The sequence below is a fragment of the Homo sapiens genome, chromosome 12 (genome assembly GCF_000001405.40).
Source record: "Homo sapiens chromosome 12, GRCh38.p14 Primary Assembly".
In the NCBI taxonomy this organism is placed as follows: Eukaryota; Metazoa; Chordata; class Mammalia; order Primates; family Hominidae; genus Homo; species Homo sapiens.
The window spans coordinates 11,307,077-11,322,628 of record NC_000012.12 but is presented as its reverse complement, the minus strand read 5'-3'; the positions used below and the strand labels follow the sequence as shown (position 1 = coordinate 11,322,628).

At 40.1% G+C, this 15,552-nt stretch overlaps 1 protein-coding gene across 2 annotated transcripts; it reads left to right on the top strand.

Moving 5' to 3' along the window:
• Positions 1-12,192: 12,192 nt before the first annotated feature.
• On the top strand, positions 12,193-15,552 carry PRB4 (proline rich protein BstNI subfamily 4). Of its 2 annotated transcripts, NM_001261399.3 has the most exons (5): positions 12,193-12,294; positions 13,224-13,259; positions 13,747-13,980; positions 14,188-14,408; positions 15,430-15,552. In NM_001261399.3, the coding sequence occupies exons 1-4, from the start codon at positions 12,231-12,233 to the stop codon at positions 14,388-14,390; spliced, it is 537 nt and encodes a 178-aa protein (NP_001248328.1). In that variant the 5' UTR covers positions 12,193-12,230; the 3' UTR covers positions 14,391-14,408; positions 15,430-15,552. The 2 variants fall into 2 exon arrangements, with proteins under 2 accessions (NP_001248328.1, NP_002714.2); NM_002723.6 differs by having other exon boundaries at positions 13,747-14,408.

Below are 15,552 nucleotides of genomic sequence, written 5' to 3'. Positions count from 1 at the left end.
TCATGGACTCTTCAGAATAAACAACAGTGGTATGTCCTATAAATCAGGGAAGGAGTGTTTTCATTTAAAGAGAAAACCTCTGGGGAAATAAATGACTCTTCCTATTAAAAATCAAAGAAACTCCATGTGTTGGTAATTGCCACAGTCAGCACCATCTCTGGATACACAGGTGTGGAGACAGATGGGCCCAGGACACTAGCAGAAATGCCCAAATGGATTAGGGTCATGAAACTGCCCTTGCTTTTATAGTCAAACATGCGAATTGTCCTTACCCCACTGTAAGTTGTAAAGGAAAGATCACATTGCTAACATTGACCATTCCTTCCATGCTTAGACGTAGAAACACTACAAATACTAAGTGAAGGCACCATTCTGCAGGGAGTGTGTTCTTCAAAGGAAAAACTAGTGGAAGAGCAAGAATCTAAAGGCATACCTCATTTCAATTGGTCCCTCAGTCACCACTAAAGTACATTCTTTAGATTCCACCATGTACAATCTGCAATTCCACAGTACATTTATAGCAGTGCTGGAAGATAGCCATTATTTGTAGACATAAGAATCAGATTATTTAGAAATTTGCTTCTATAGCATTTCCCAAGTCTTCTTTTCAGAAAAAAATTCAGATATCCCTCAAACAATTGGAGTTTGTTTTAGGGAGAAGGTGGTCTTGAAATCTTATAATCCCCATGGGTAAGTGCAAGACATAAAAATACATAAAAGCTTGAGTAAAGGAGTTGGTACAAAGAAGACCACTGCTAGTTTACATCTCTTTTTATTCTGTTCACTCTAAACAGGGTCGTGTAAAGGGTCTGTGCACATGAAGGACCCCAAAGTTCAAGCTTCAGAAGCTTTGTAAATCATCCCAATCTGACAAAAGCCATATGTCAATCTTGTTGGGATGACTAGTTAAATAAGCCTTTAATTGCTGAACAAAAATGCACATGGGCATGTTTCAATCAAGAAAATGTGAATATAGACCAAAGTTTAGCTAAAAAATAAGGTTAGTAAAAATGTAAGATAAATTCGAACTCTTCATGTATCATGTCATAAACTTCTGTTTCTGACTATGTCTGTTTATGAAAAGGCACAAAAGGTTTTTTTTATAATATGGAGAGATTTGCTTTGGCAGTTCTAAAGATGGATAAGTAATAGACTTGAAACAACATACATTTGTTATTAAAAAATTACATTTGTTAGACTATTAGAGTGTAAAAATGTATTCATCATTTAAAATTGTTGCTAGATGTTTACTCAATAACGTTGTAAAAAATAAACATGTGATTATCAAGTCATGGTCCTGTTACATTTAATGCAGCCAGGGAAGAAAAGACAGCAGCAGATTCTTCTGATAAAATGAGGAACACAGGTAATAGCAATCTGCCTTGTAGATTCACTTGAATACACTTAAATAGAAAGAGACATAAACAAAAAGGTCATCTGTAGAACCTGCTATAAACTGTGATAAGGAATTTGTCTCTAGACTCAGGGTACTGGAATGCACAGTGCATTGAACACATGGACTGATTTCTGCTCTTTCCCAATGTCCTAATAAAATTAAAATAAAGAAGCACAGAGGAAATTAATACCCAAGGATGAAGAGAATGAAAGAAGAGATGACAATAAACAATAAATTTAAACAAAACTGTGGAATTGGAATGACAAATAGAAAAATAACAGAGTTTGTAAATCAGCAAAGCTGAAATCAGACATGAAGAGGGGACCGTGGTGCAATTTTCACCAGAACACCTGGAAAACTAGTCCTATTTGAATATTGCATTTCACTGTGCTGAAATTTACATGTACATACATTTTAGTGCATATTCTGCATCAAAGTTTGATCAATCCTCTTCAACTGAATCCTGTGCATTTCTTGCTATTTGTTCCTAGGTATTTTATATTGTTCTCATGAATGAGGTCATTCTCTAATTTCTCTCTCTCTCTCTGTCCTTGCATTGTTTTATGCTGTTACCTATGAAGTGTATGTCTTAGGGAAGTCACTCAATCACATTCAGATTTTATTTCTACCTTTGAAAAGTGAACATGAATGCAAAAAATCCTCAAAGTGCTATTGTAAGTACAAGAAGAGCTAAGGCATCTGAAACATCACTATGCAAGGTAGATAGGAATAATCCATAAATCTTTAGCTATTTAGCCATGCATGTGTAGAAATAAATGATTAGATAGCAATTGGGTCACTGAAACAAACTTGGTTATTGAATATTGTTTAGAGACGATTTTGTATCTGATCTTTTTCTTTATTATTATTATTACACTTTAAGTTTTAGGGTACATGTGCACAATGTGCAGGTTTGTTACATATGTATAGATGTGCCATGTTGATGTGCTGCACCCATTAACTTGTCATTTAGCATCAGGTATATCTCCTAATGCTATCCCTCCCCCATCTCCCCACCCCACAGCATGCCCAGGTGTGTGATGTTCCCCTTCCTGTGTCCATGTGTTCTCATTGTTCAGTTCTCACCTATGCGTGAGAACATGTGGTATTTGGTTTTTTGTCCTTGTGATAGTTTGCAGAGAACGATGGTTTCCAGATTCATCCATGTCCCTACAAAGGACATGAACTCATCATTTTTTATGGCTGCATAGTATTCCATGGTGTATATGTGCCACATTTTCTTAATCCAGTCTATCATTGTTGGACATTTGGGTTGGTTCCAAGTCTTTGCTATTGTGAATAGTGCCGCAATAAACATACGTGTGCATGTGTCTTTATAGCAGCATGATTTATAATCCTTTGGGTATATACCCAGTAATGGGATGGCTGGGTCAAATGGTATTTCTAGTTCTAGATCCCTGAGGAATCGCCACACTGACTTCCACAATGGTTGAACTAGTTTACAGTCCCACCAACAGTGTAAAAGTGTTCCTATTTCTCCACATCCTCTCCAGCACCTGTTGTTTCCTGACTTTTTAATGATTGCCATTCTAACTGGTGTGAGATGGTATCTCATTTTGGTTTTGATTTGCATTTCTCTGATGGCCAGTGATGGTGAGCATTTTTTCATGTGTTTTTTGGCTGCATAAATGTCTTCTTTTGAGAAGTGTCTGTTCATATCCTTCACCCACTTTTTGATGGGGTTGTTTGTCTTTTTCTTGTAAATTTGTTTGAGTTCATTGTAGATTCTGGATATTAGCCCTTTGTCAGATGAGTAGGTTGCAAAAATTTTCTTACATTCTGTAGGTTGCCTGTTCACTCTGATGGTAGTTTATTTTGCTGTGCAGAAGCTCTTGAGTTTAATTAGATCCCATTTGTCAATTTCAGCTTTTGTTGCCATTGCTTTTGGTGTTTTAGACATGAAGTCCTTGCCCATGCCTATGTCCTGAATGGTAATGCCTAGGTTTTCTTCTAGTTTTTTTATGGTTTTAGGTCTAACATTGAAGTCTTTAATCCATCTTGAATTAATTTTTGTATAAGGTGTAAGGAAAGGATCCAGTTTCAGCTTTCTACATATGGCTAGCCTGTTTTCCCAGCACCATTTATTAAATAGGGAATCCTTTCCCCATTGCTTGTTTTTCTCAGGTTTGTCAAAGATCAGATAGTTGTAGATATGTGGCATTATTTCTGAGGGCTCTGTTCTGTTCCATTGGTCTATATCTCTGTTTTTGTACCAGTACCATGCTGTTTTGGTTACTGTAGCCTTGTAGTATAGTTTGAAGTCAGGTAGCATGATGCCTCTAGCTTTGTTCTTTTGGTTTAGGATTGACTTGGCACTGTGGTCTCTTTTGTGGTTCCACATGAACTTTAAAGTAGTTTTTTTCCAATTCTGTGAAGAAAGTCATTGGTAGCTTGATGGGGATGGCATTGAATCTATAAATTACCTTGGGCAGTATGGCCATTTTAACGATATTGATTCTTCCTGCCCATGAGCATGGAATGTTCTTCCATTTGTTTGTATCCTCTTTTATTTCACTGAGCAGTGGTTTGTAGTTCTCCTTGAAGAGGTCCTTCACATCCCTTGTAAGTTGGATTCCTATGTATTTTATTCTCTTTGAAGCAATTGTGAATGGGAGTTCACTCATGATTTGGCTCTCTGTTTGTCTGTTATTGGTGTATAAGAATGCTTGTGATTTTTGTACATTGATTTTGAATCCTGAGACTTTGCTGAAGTTGCTTATCAGCTTGAGGAGATTTTGAGCTGAGACGATGGGGATTTCTAGATATACAATCATGTCATCTGCAAACAGGGACAATTTGACTTCCTCTTTTCCTAGTTGAATGCTCTTTATTTCCTTCTCCTGCCTCATTGCCCTGGCCAGAACTTCCAACACTATGTTCAATAGGAGGGGTGAGAGAGGGCATCCTTGTCTTCTGCCCGTTTTCAAAGGGAATGCTTCCAGTTTTTGCCCATTCAGTATGATATTGGCTGTGGGTGTGTCATAGATAGCTCTTATTATTTTGAGATATGTCCCATCATTACCTAATTTATTGAGAGTTTTTAGCATGAAGGAAGTTGTTGAACCTTGTCAAAGGCTTTTTCTGTGTCTATTGAGATAATCATGTGGTTTTTGCCTTTGGTTCTGTTTATATGCTGGATTACATTTATTGATTTGTGTATGTTGAACCATCCTTGCATCCCAGGGATGACGCCCACTTGATCATGGTGGATAAGCTTTTTGATGTGCTGCTGGATTCGGTTTGCCAGTATTTTATTGAGGATTTTTGCATCAATGTTCATCAAGGATATTGGTCTAAAATTCTCTTTTTTGGTTGTGTCTCTGCCAGGCTTTGGTATCAGGATGATGCTGGCCTCATAAAATGAGTTAGGGAGGATTCCCTCTTTTTCTATTGATTGGAATAGTTTCAGAAGGAATGGTACCAGCTCCTCTTTGCACCTCTGGTAGAATTTGGCTGTGAATCTATCTGGTCCTGGACTTTTTTTGTTTGGTAAGCTATTGATTATTGCCTCAATTTCAGAGCCTGTTATTGGTCTATTCAGAGATTCAACTTCTTACTGGTTTAGTCTTGGGAAGATGTATGTGTCGAGGAATTTATCCATTTCTTCTAGATTTTCTAGTTTATTTGCATAGAGCTGTTTATAGTACTCTCTGATGGTAGTTTGTATTTCTGTGGGATCAGTGGTGATATCCCCTTTGCCATTTTTATTGCGTCTATTTGATTCTTCTCTGTTTTCTTCTATATTAGTCTTGCTAGCGGTCTATCAATTTTGTTGATATTTTCACAAAACCAGCTCCTGGATTTATTAATTTTTTTGAAGGGTTTTTTGTGTCTGTATTTCCTTCAGTTCTGCTCTGATGTTAGTTATTTCTTGCCTTCTGCTAGCCTTTTGAATATGTTTGCTCTTGCTTTTCTAGTTCTTTTACTTGTGATGTTAGAGTGTCAATTTTAGATCTTTCCTGCTTTCTCCTGTGGGCAGTCAGTGCTATAAATTTCCCTCTACACACTGCTTTGAATGTGCCCCAGAGATTCTGGTATGTTGTGTCTTTGTTCTCGGTGGTTTCAAAGAACATCTTTATTTCTGCCTTCATTTCGTTATGTACCCAGTAGTCATTCAGGAGTAGGTTGTTCAGTTTCCATGTATTTGAGCGGTTTTGAGTGAGTTTCTTAATCCTGGGTTCTCGTTTGATTGCACTGTGGTCTGAGAGGCAGTTTGTTATAATTTCTATTCTTTTACATTTGCTGAGGAGTGCTTTACTTCCAACTATGTGGTCAATTTTGGAGTAGGTGTGGTGTGGTGCTGAAAAGAATGTATATTCTGTTGATTTGGGGTGGAGAGTTCTGTAGATGTCTATTAGGTCCGCTTGGTGCAGAGCTGAGTTCAATTCCTGGGTATCCTTGTTAACTTTCTGTCTCGTTGATCTGTCTAATGTTGACAGTGGGGTGTTAAAGTCTCCCATTATTATTGTGTGGGAGTCTAAGTCTCTTTGTAGGTCATTAAGGACTTGCTTCATGAATCTGAGTGCTCCTGTATTGGGTGCATATATATTTAGGATAGTTAGCTCTTCTTGTTGAATTGAACCCTTTACCATTATATAATGGCCTTCTTTGTCTCTTTTGATCTTTGTTGGTTTAAAGTCTGTTTTATCAGAGACTAGAATTGCAACCCCTGCCTTTTTTTGTTTTCCATTTTCATGGTAGATCTTCCTCCATCCCTTTATTTTGAGCCTATGTGTGTCTCTGCATGTGAGATGGGTTTCCTGAATACAGCACACTGATGGGTCTTGACTCTATTCAATTTGCCAGTCTGTGTCTTTTAATTGGAGCATTTAGGTCATTTACCTTTTTAGTTAATATTGTTATGTGTGAATTTTGATCCTGTCATTATGATGTTAGCTGGTTATTTTGCTTGTTAGTTGATGCAGTTTCTTCCTAGCCTTGATGGTCTTTAAAATTTGGCATGTTTTTGCAGTGGCTGGTACCGGTTGTTCCTTTCCATATTTAGTGCTTCCTTCAGGAGCTCTTTTAGGGCAGGCCTGGTGGTGACAAAATCTCTCAGCATTTGCTTGTCTGTAAAGTATTTTATTTCTCCTTCACTTATGAAGCTTAGTTTGGCTGGATATGAAATGCCGGACTAAAAATTCTTGTCTTTAAGAATGTTGAATATTGGTCCCCACTCTCTTCTGGCTTGTAGAGTTTCTGCCAAGAGATCAGCTGTTGGTTGGATGGGCTTCCCTTTGTGGGTAACCTGACCTTTCTCTCTGGCTGCCCTTAACATTTTTTCCTTCATTTCAACTTTCGTGAATCTGACAATTATGTGTCTTGGATTTGCTCTTCTTGAGGAGTATCTTCGTGGTGTTCTCTGTATTTCCTGAATTTGAATGTTGGCCTGCCTTGCTAGATTGGGGAAGTTCTCCTGGATGATATCCTGCAGAGTTTTTTCCAACTTGGTTCCATTCTCCCTGTCACTTTCAGGTACACCAATCAGATGTAGATTTAGTCTTTTCACATAGTCCCATATTTCTTGGAGGCTTTGTTTGTTTCTTTTTATTCTTTTTTCTCTAAACTTCTCTTCTCACTTCATTTCATTCATTTCATCTTCCATCACTGATACCCTTTCTTCCAGTTGATTGCATTGGCTACAGAGGCTTCTGCATTCATCATGTAGCTCTCGTGCCTTGGTTTTCAGCTCCATCAGGTCCTTTAAGGAGTTCTCTGTATTGGTTATTGTGGTTATCCATTCATCTAATTTCTTTTCAAAGCTTTTAACTTGTTTGCCATTGGTTCGAATTTCCTCCTGTAGCTCGCAGTAGTTTGATCGTCTGAAGCCTTCTTCTCTCAACTCGTCAAAGTCATTGTCCGTCCAGCTTTGTTCCATTGCTGGTGAGGAGCTGCGTTCCTTTGGAGGAGGAGAGGCACTCTGATTTTTAGAGTTTCCAGTTTTCCTGCTCTGTTTTTTTCCCATCTTTGTGGTTTTATCTACCTTTGCTCTTTGATGTTGGTGATGTACAGATGGGTTTTTGGTGTGGATGTCCTTTCTGTTTGTTAGTTTTCCTTCTAACAGACAGGACCCTCAGCTGCAGGTCTGTTGGAGTTTGCTAGAGGTCCACTCCAGACCCTGTTTGCCTGGGTATCAGCAGTGGTGGCTGGAGAACAGCAGATATTGGTGAACCGCAAATGCTGCTGTCTGATCGTTCCTCTGGAAGTTTTGTCTCAGAAGAGTACCTGGCCGTGTGAGGTGTCAGTTGGCCCCTACTGGGGGATGCCTCCCAGTTAGTCTACTCGGGGATCAGGGACCCACTTGAGGAGGCAGTCTACCTGTTCTCAGATCTCAAGCTGCGTGCTGGAAGAACCACTACTCTCTTCAAAGCTCAGTTGGAAATGCAGAAATCACCCATCTTCTGCGTCGCTCATGCTGGGAGCTGTAGACTGGAGCTGTTCCTATTCGGCCATCTTGGCTCCTCCTCCAATCATTTTTTAAATGAATGTTCTATCTCTGTCTCACAGCATGGGCTTCCTCACAGCATGTGGCAGGTTCCATAAATAATAATTTGGAATTGCATGGCATTTCTATGATCTAGACTCAAAAGTCACAAAGTATCACTTCTGATATAATCTACTGGTCATGGCAGTAACGAAGTTCTACCCCAATTAAAGGGGGTAAGAAGACCTCACCCCTTCAAGAAAGGATGTCAAGGTACCATTGTAAGAAGAAAATATTAGATGAATGATTCTGTCATGATCATTATTTTAAAAACAATTTCCAAGATGATAAATATGCTCACATGTGGACTTCAAAATCAATGAAATAAACAATAATTTGTGGTTCTTAAGCAGAAGAGACAACATCTTTTGTAAGAGATAGGTACAGGTTTATCTGTTTAATAAGTGAGTCATTGATTAATCACTTTAATGAAATTCCTGTTTTAAATGTATCAGCTTACGGACTTGGTACATCATCAGAAAAGTATGAGGGTGATATACATTGCTTTGTATTTCTTATGAGATAAGTTGTGATTGTACTTCTCTATGAACTGCTAGGAAGTGTAACTGAAAGGTGAAGAATACACTCTGACATTGTGATAACAGTGGTGAGCTGAGGCTGCAGACACTTGACCTTAGGCTGATGACCAATGCCTTCTGTGGCCCCAACCACTCAGGACAGTACACCAGCTCTGGGGCCAGGACACAGGAGATATCTTCATGCAGAAGACTGAAAGCTGTGTAAGTGGTATACAATTTATCCTTTCTTAGAGAACTCTCTGAACAGACTCCCTCTTGGATTTCTAGAATTTTAGAATCATTGTGATTAGAAGGATCAAATTTAGTAAATTTAAAAGGGCATACACATATTTTGCCAATGCCAATATGTCACCCAAGAAAAATGCACGTATCATGGATTAAGGAAGTACATACAGGATCTATATTGGCAGGGTTTTGTAATTAGAAAAAAAGGAATTAATTCCTCTGAGTGTCTTTATATAAATCCAAGGGGTAAAACAGAATACTGGAAGATGTTTAAATGTGATTATGATTTTAAACAAACATGTTTACTCAGGAAAATATATTTTTCCTCACCTCAGCTGTTTATGTCTCAGGAAAACATAACCTTGAAAATATTGTAAGAGAAACTTGTTTTTATTCTCTGAATCTCCTTTCCTTTCACATTCTTGTAAAGAAATGAATGAAGACCAAGTAACCAGTGGAGCACAATAGGCAAGAACTCAGCTATGAGAACTAACTGCCTTCCAGTCCACTTACTACCTTTATATGATCCTAGGCATGCACCTAAGTCACCTCATCTACAAAATTAAGATAATAATAATCATCACATCTCCCTCATATGATGGTTCTGAAGATTGAATATCATATAGTAAATGCTGAAGAAATGTTTTCTATTATAATCAGCCTTTGCTAGGATAAATGGAAAGAATATAAATATGCTCAAATAGTTGTGAAATATACATATTAGAGAGCATCAACATCAAATAAAAATATAAAGATGACCATCCTACCAATGTAACCGAAGTTTTTAGAAAAGTCAACACAAATCTGAATTCTCACACACAACTGTATTACCAGAATGGTTGGTTTATGCAATGAACACAGTAAGTTGAGGAAGATTTTGCTTTCTGTTCCATTCACAGAGCTTCCAAGTCTTCAAAAAGAGAGAGATGTGTGAGTGTGAGAGAGCTGAGGCATGAAGTTTGGATCTTATTACAAGTGCAGAAGAAAATCCTAAGAGCATTGGAAGCACAAAAGTGTTATGATCTAATTCCTACTTTTCAATGATCACCCTGACTGATATGAGGGGAATGGATATGGGATGTGCTGGGGTAGGAATGTTACCAAGAGCACTGAGGATATTAAACTTCTTCAGGAGAGAGCATCATGGCCTGAACTATCACCTTCTAGTAAATATTATGCAAGTGGTTGTATTTGGGATGAGTGTTGAAAGTGGAGGAAACTGGATTTGCTAAAGGGCAGTGCCTGAAGGGAGTGAGGAGTTTTGAACCACTGAACACTTGACTTAGAAAAGGTTGGGAGCTGTTATGAGAGCTGAATTGTGTTTCCTAAAATTTCATATGTTGAAGGCTGTTCCTTCAGGACCTGAGAATATGAACATGGATATTAGAAGGCAAGTGGAGTGCTCAGGGCTTCCACTCACGTCTAGGTGCCCAAGTTCCTGCTGCAGTCCTGCTTCTCTCTTCCACCCACCCTCACCCACAGAGAGTGTCCCTTTCCGCATTTCCATCACCTCTTTTTTGTTTTGTCTGGTGAGTGCATAGCTGATATTTATGCTTTCCTGATAAACTTTACTCATTGCTGACATTGGAGAAGGTCAGGAAAGGGCCTGAAATGAGTGATCTTTAGGGGGGTTTTCATTCTCTTCCTGTACCTTCCTGCCAAGGGGAAGTCGGTCTTGCATCAGGCTGCAGCAACCTCAGTTGGTGACAATATCAGGCAATGTCAGCCTGGCCTCTGCTGCTCCTTTTCTCTGACATTCCTTTGTTACCTGATGGTCTAACTTAAGCCACCTAAGCAGGATTGCTCATCTCCAGTTGTATTCCCATTTCAAGTACGTGTATATTTTTGTCAGGGAAAATACCAATCTTCGTGGTTCCCTTGCAAGGGCAAAGTTATCTGTAGCAAAGCCTTTTTTATTAGGAAGTCTGCTTGTACTATTACCTGCAACTCTTCAGAAGGGCCACCCAGATTCTCATCTGCAAAGCCCAGGATCTACTCATCCACAATGTTCAAGAGGCCTGTCTTTAGGATTTACTGTCACATACCCTCTCTACCTCCATCATACCTCCAACCAAGGTGTTCTCAAATTAATACCAGCCATGCACAAAATGTGAACAATTACACAAGACACATGGAAGGTCTAAGTGGTAAATGGCAGCTGTTGATACTGAGTAACCTGTATATTCCATGAACTGATAAGCAGGTATTTATCAGATATAACGAAGAATCAGTAGCTGAAAGAAGTGCTAACAATGCAGGTCTCTGATAGGGCTTTTTGGAAACACAACACGTATTATGAAATTACACAGACAAGAATGAAACAAAGATGGTAAGTACTATATCCTAATACTTAGAAGATTAAATAAAGGAAATCTCACCAAATTCATGGGGAAAAAAGCCAGATACATAAAGAAAAATACACATAATGGGCTTGACTCAGAAAATAAAATATGAACAAAGAAGAACCAGAAAGAAGGTGGGGAGGAATGCATATCAGAATATTATAGAAAAATACTCTTTGTGGAAGAACAATCTGAGAAAACAGGTAACACAAATACTGACTAAACCAAGAATACCAATATAATGCAATTTAGGCTTTAACGAGGGTATCTGATTATCCTATTTGAATGTAGAATTGTAGCCACTTAATTATAAGTGGTAGGAATTCAATACAATTATTAAAAGAAATGAAGCAGAGGGTGAATATTATAGAATATTCTGGACAAAGGGAAGAGCATGAAGGAAGTTTTGGCAACATGATATCGCATGGCTCCCGCAAGGAATTATGTATTCAGTTTTCTCAGATCTAGAAATTTCCTTATGGTTTCTGTGTACATTTTGCATTAATAACCCCTAAAGGTACTTTAAAATACACAATTTTGGCCTTCCTGTGTGGCACAACAACAAGCCTTGCCTGAGCTGAGTCAGATCCACAGAAGCTTGAACAATAGTTGTAGCCCGAGCAGGCTGTGGGGCAGCTTTCTGTCATCTATGTGTGCCCAGGAGTGTGTTGTCTTCACACCATCACACAGGTAACAGAAACCATCTCTATCGCATCAAAACTTTAGCCAATTGTGATACTATCTGTACACACACATCACAAGAGATGGAAATAGGCTCTATAAAGAGCCAGAGAAATTGACCATCTTCACTGCTGGCTGTAGCTTCACTGCCCCCACAAATATTACACAGAAATAAATAGTAGAGTGGAAAGCAGACATAGTCTTACCAAAAGGATTGAAACTCTAATGATGTCTGAAGTTCAATTATGACACAGTGCTGATAGCTTGGACACAGTTCCTTTAGAACCTTTATTCAAGTCATAGTCGTACCTTTTAGAAATAAGGCACAAACAACATCCAACCCACCCCATCCCTCTGGGCTAGAGTCCCAAAGAGAAATAAGGGATACACCTGACCTGCAGTAAGGAAAGCAGAACCCAGTCTCTGAGGTGGTGAGGCCCACCCAGGGCTCAAAGGTGCCATTGTTTTGCTCCTCTTTATAAAGGGAGTTGCCACGTTCCTCCCAGCACAGAGTTGGGAGTGACTCCAGAGCCTCCAGCGAGATGCTGCTGATTCTGCTGTCAGTGGCCCTGCTGGCCCTGAGCTCAGCTGAGAGTTCAAGTGAAGGTAAAACAGAAGGGGGAAAAGATGCGGTGACTGCTTGGGACTTAGGAGGTGACAGTGGTAATTATGGGGAAGAGAGGAGAATGAAAACACAGATGGGGCTGCAGAGTTTTCATGCCTAGGATCAGGAGACCTGTTGTGCCCTCATTCCACAATAAGGACTTCTAATTTATTTAATGTACAATGAAATCCAATAACGAATTTGTTCCAGGGGAATGAGAAGGTAAGATTTGAATTTATAGAGATAGAACTGTGCTGTGAAGGCTGCAGTGGAGAGTGCAAGGCAGATTCAGGGAAGTCCAGCTGTGAAGATCCTATACTGATCCCAGTAAGTACACAGGGATGATGGTGGCCTTGCTGTACAGACAGTCGGCATTGATGATAGAGATACATACACATCAGAGATACTGCAGAGACAGAACTGGATAGAACACTTGTCTCTGTCTAACTAAAGATGTAGAAATATCAGAGCCAATCATTACAATTTTTCTCTCCCCTACATGCAGTATTTCAATGTGCTGGGAGTGGAATGGGTTAGATTGTATTGAAATGATTACTTCTGGTTACCCCTATTGAGAAAACATGTGTATGTATGCAATATATTAACAGGAGATGGAGGGCATAAGAACACCAAAATATCACATTGAAGTACCTGGCATGCATAAACTAAATAAGCATTAAGTCTTGAGGGATGCTAGGGAGGAAAAAAAGGGGCTGTTCTATGTTGAACTCATTGCTGTTGCTCTGTGTGGTAACAACCCTGCCTCCTCTTACACCTTCCACCCCTTCCAGCACCTTCACAGATGGTGGCTGATGAGTTAACCTAGGGGATGCATGGGGTGTGGTGAGAAGACAATTTTCCCTGTAGAACACTTGTGAGTCTTGAAGATTTGAGATGTAACATTTCCCATCATCCTGTGCTTCTCTTCTAGATGTCAGCCAGGAAGAATCTCTCTTCCTAATATCAGGTAAATCCCAATTCATTCTCAATCTGTTTTGACTCCCTTTTTCTGCTTACAAATGGATCATTTCTCCAGTGTCTTCTTATCAACACTTTCCTTTCAGGAATTGATTAATGTTATTGCCCCTAATGATATAGGCAATCTTCATGCAAACTTGATTCTGGGGACCATGAGCAGGCCACCAAATGGAATGTCAGAGATGCTTGGCTTAGATGACAACAGGAGTGGGTTGACATCCCCCTGGCCAGGAGTGCCTCCTGGGAGATGACAGACAAATGGCCAGTGTCCTTATTCTGACTCCTCCTTAGACTGAGAGCCCCTCAACTTCTCCCTTTTCCCCCAGCGTTCCACTCCAGAGTTCTAGGGCTTCACTGAAAATGCAAAGAAATTAGTATCTGGGTCTCATTTTTGTGCATTTCCCCATTTAGCTCCATTACTGTAAAAATTTGTGGCAACTATTCAGTGAATGCCGTATGTCCCCCACCTCCTCCAGGAAAGCCAGAAGGACGACGCCCACAAGGAGGAAACCAGCCCCAACGTCCCCCACCTCCTCCAGGAAAGCCACAAGGACCACCCCCACAAGGAGGAAACCAGTCCCAAGGTCCCCCACCTCCTCCAGGAAAGCCAGAAGGACGACCCCCACAAGGAGGCAACCAGTCCCAAGGTCCCCCACCTCATCCAGGAAAGCCAGAAAGACCACCCCCACAAGGAGGAAACCAGTCCCAAGGTACCCCACCTCCTCCAGGAAAGCCAGAAAGACCACCCCCACAAGGAGGCAACCAGTCCCACCGTCCCCCACCTCCTCCAGGAAAGCCAGAAAGACCACCCCCACAAGGAGGTAACCAGTCCCAAGGTCCCCCACCTCATCCAGGAAAGCCAGAAGGACCACCCCCACAGGAAGGAAACAAGTCCCGAAGTGCCCGATCTCCTCCAGGAAAGCCACAAGGACCACCCCAACAAGAAGGCAACAAGCCTCAAGGTCCCCCACCTCCTGGAAAGCCACAAGGCCCACCCCCAGCAGGAGGCAATCCCCAGCAGCCTCAGGCACCTCCTGCTGGAAAGCCCCAGGGGCCACCTCCACCTCCTCAAGGGGGCAGGCCACCCAGACCTGCCCAGGGACAACAGCCTCCCCAGTAATCTAGGATTCAATGACAGGTATGATTCCACTTTATTATTCATCAGGACTCTAATTGCTACAGTTCTCCAACTTTATTGTGCCAATGAATCAACTAAAACCCATTGACATTGTATTGTCCTAGAACCCATTTCTAAAAATTTGTATTCAGATACTCTGGAATAGGGTAAGGGGACCCTGTATTTCTAACAAAATCTTTAAGGAATTCTGATGTTGAGAAACAACATACCATATGATCTGTCTTAAATTGTGTTGGCAATGAGGAGGTAGTACCATGTTCATTCTTGGCGTTCTGTTTTCTATCCACTAACTCAGAGACCTCCCATTTAAAGTTTTCACCTGAGCACCATTTGCTCAGTCCTGCCTCACACCAGCCTCTCGAGTCCAGTATTCCTGCCAAATGGTCCCTGATCTTTCAGCAGCTAAATGGCGTGTCACTTTTTAGATACTTAACTTTTCAATACGTACATGATTAAGCTAACAAAAAATATCTAATGGAATGGAAAAATATGAAGCTAATTTTAAAGGCATAACACATCCTACCCACCTTCCTTCCTTCAAAAAGCTCCCACTGTTAACCTTATGGGATCTTTTCTTTGAAATATTTATGTGTGCATAGACATATAGCATTCTTTTACCCTACCACTAATGCCATAACTTATATGCAGGTATATATGTTAGTCATTTAAAAAATACATTTTTTTAAAATTTCCACATCAGTTTATGAAGGTCACTACATATCTTCAGTGGTTTTCTGTTTGCTTTTACATTTTTATACTACTCTATTGTGTAGCTGTGCCATGATTTCGTTAACCAATCCCTGTCACTGGACACTGAGGGTGGTTTTAGCTTCTCAGTATTATAGAATATGTTCCAGTTACCATCTGTGTAAATATATCCCTGAACAAATTCAACAGCAATGAGTCACAGCAACCTAAGGATGGTCTTTTCTCTTCATCTTCTAAGCCACAATTTGGAGCACATTGTGTGCAAGGGCATCAAAAGAGTGAATCTATGAACTTGCTTGTTTGTTTATTTCAGGAAGTGAATAAGAAGATATCAGTGAATTCAAATAATTCAATTGCTACAAATGCCGTGACATTGGAACAAGGTCATCATAGCTCTAACTTTAATATACCAATAAAATAATCAGCTTGCAATTTC

Bases quoted from the DNA above. Each gene is read 5' to 3' on its own strand.
- PRB4 (NM_002723.6), top strand. From the start codon at position 12,231: ATGCTGCTGATTCTGCTGTCAGTGGCCCTGCTGGCCCTGAGCTCAGCT. The intron at 12,295-13,223 runs GTAAAACAGAAG...CTTCTCTTCTAG, and splicing joins AGCTGAGAGTTCAAGTGAAG to ATGTCAGCCAGGAAGAATCT. The intron at 13,260-13,746 runs GTAAATCCCAAT...CACCTCCTCCAG, and splicing joins ATCTCTCTTCCTAATATCAG to GAAAGCCAGAAGGACGACGC.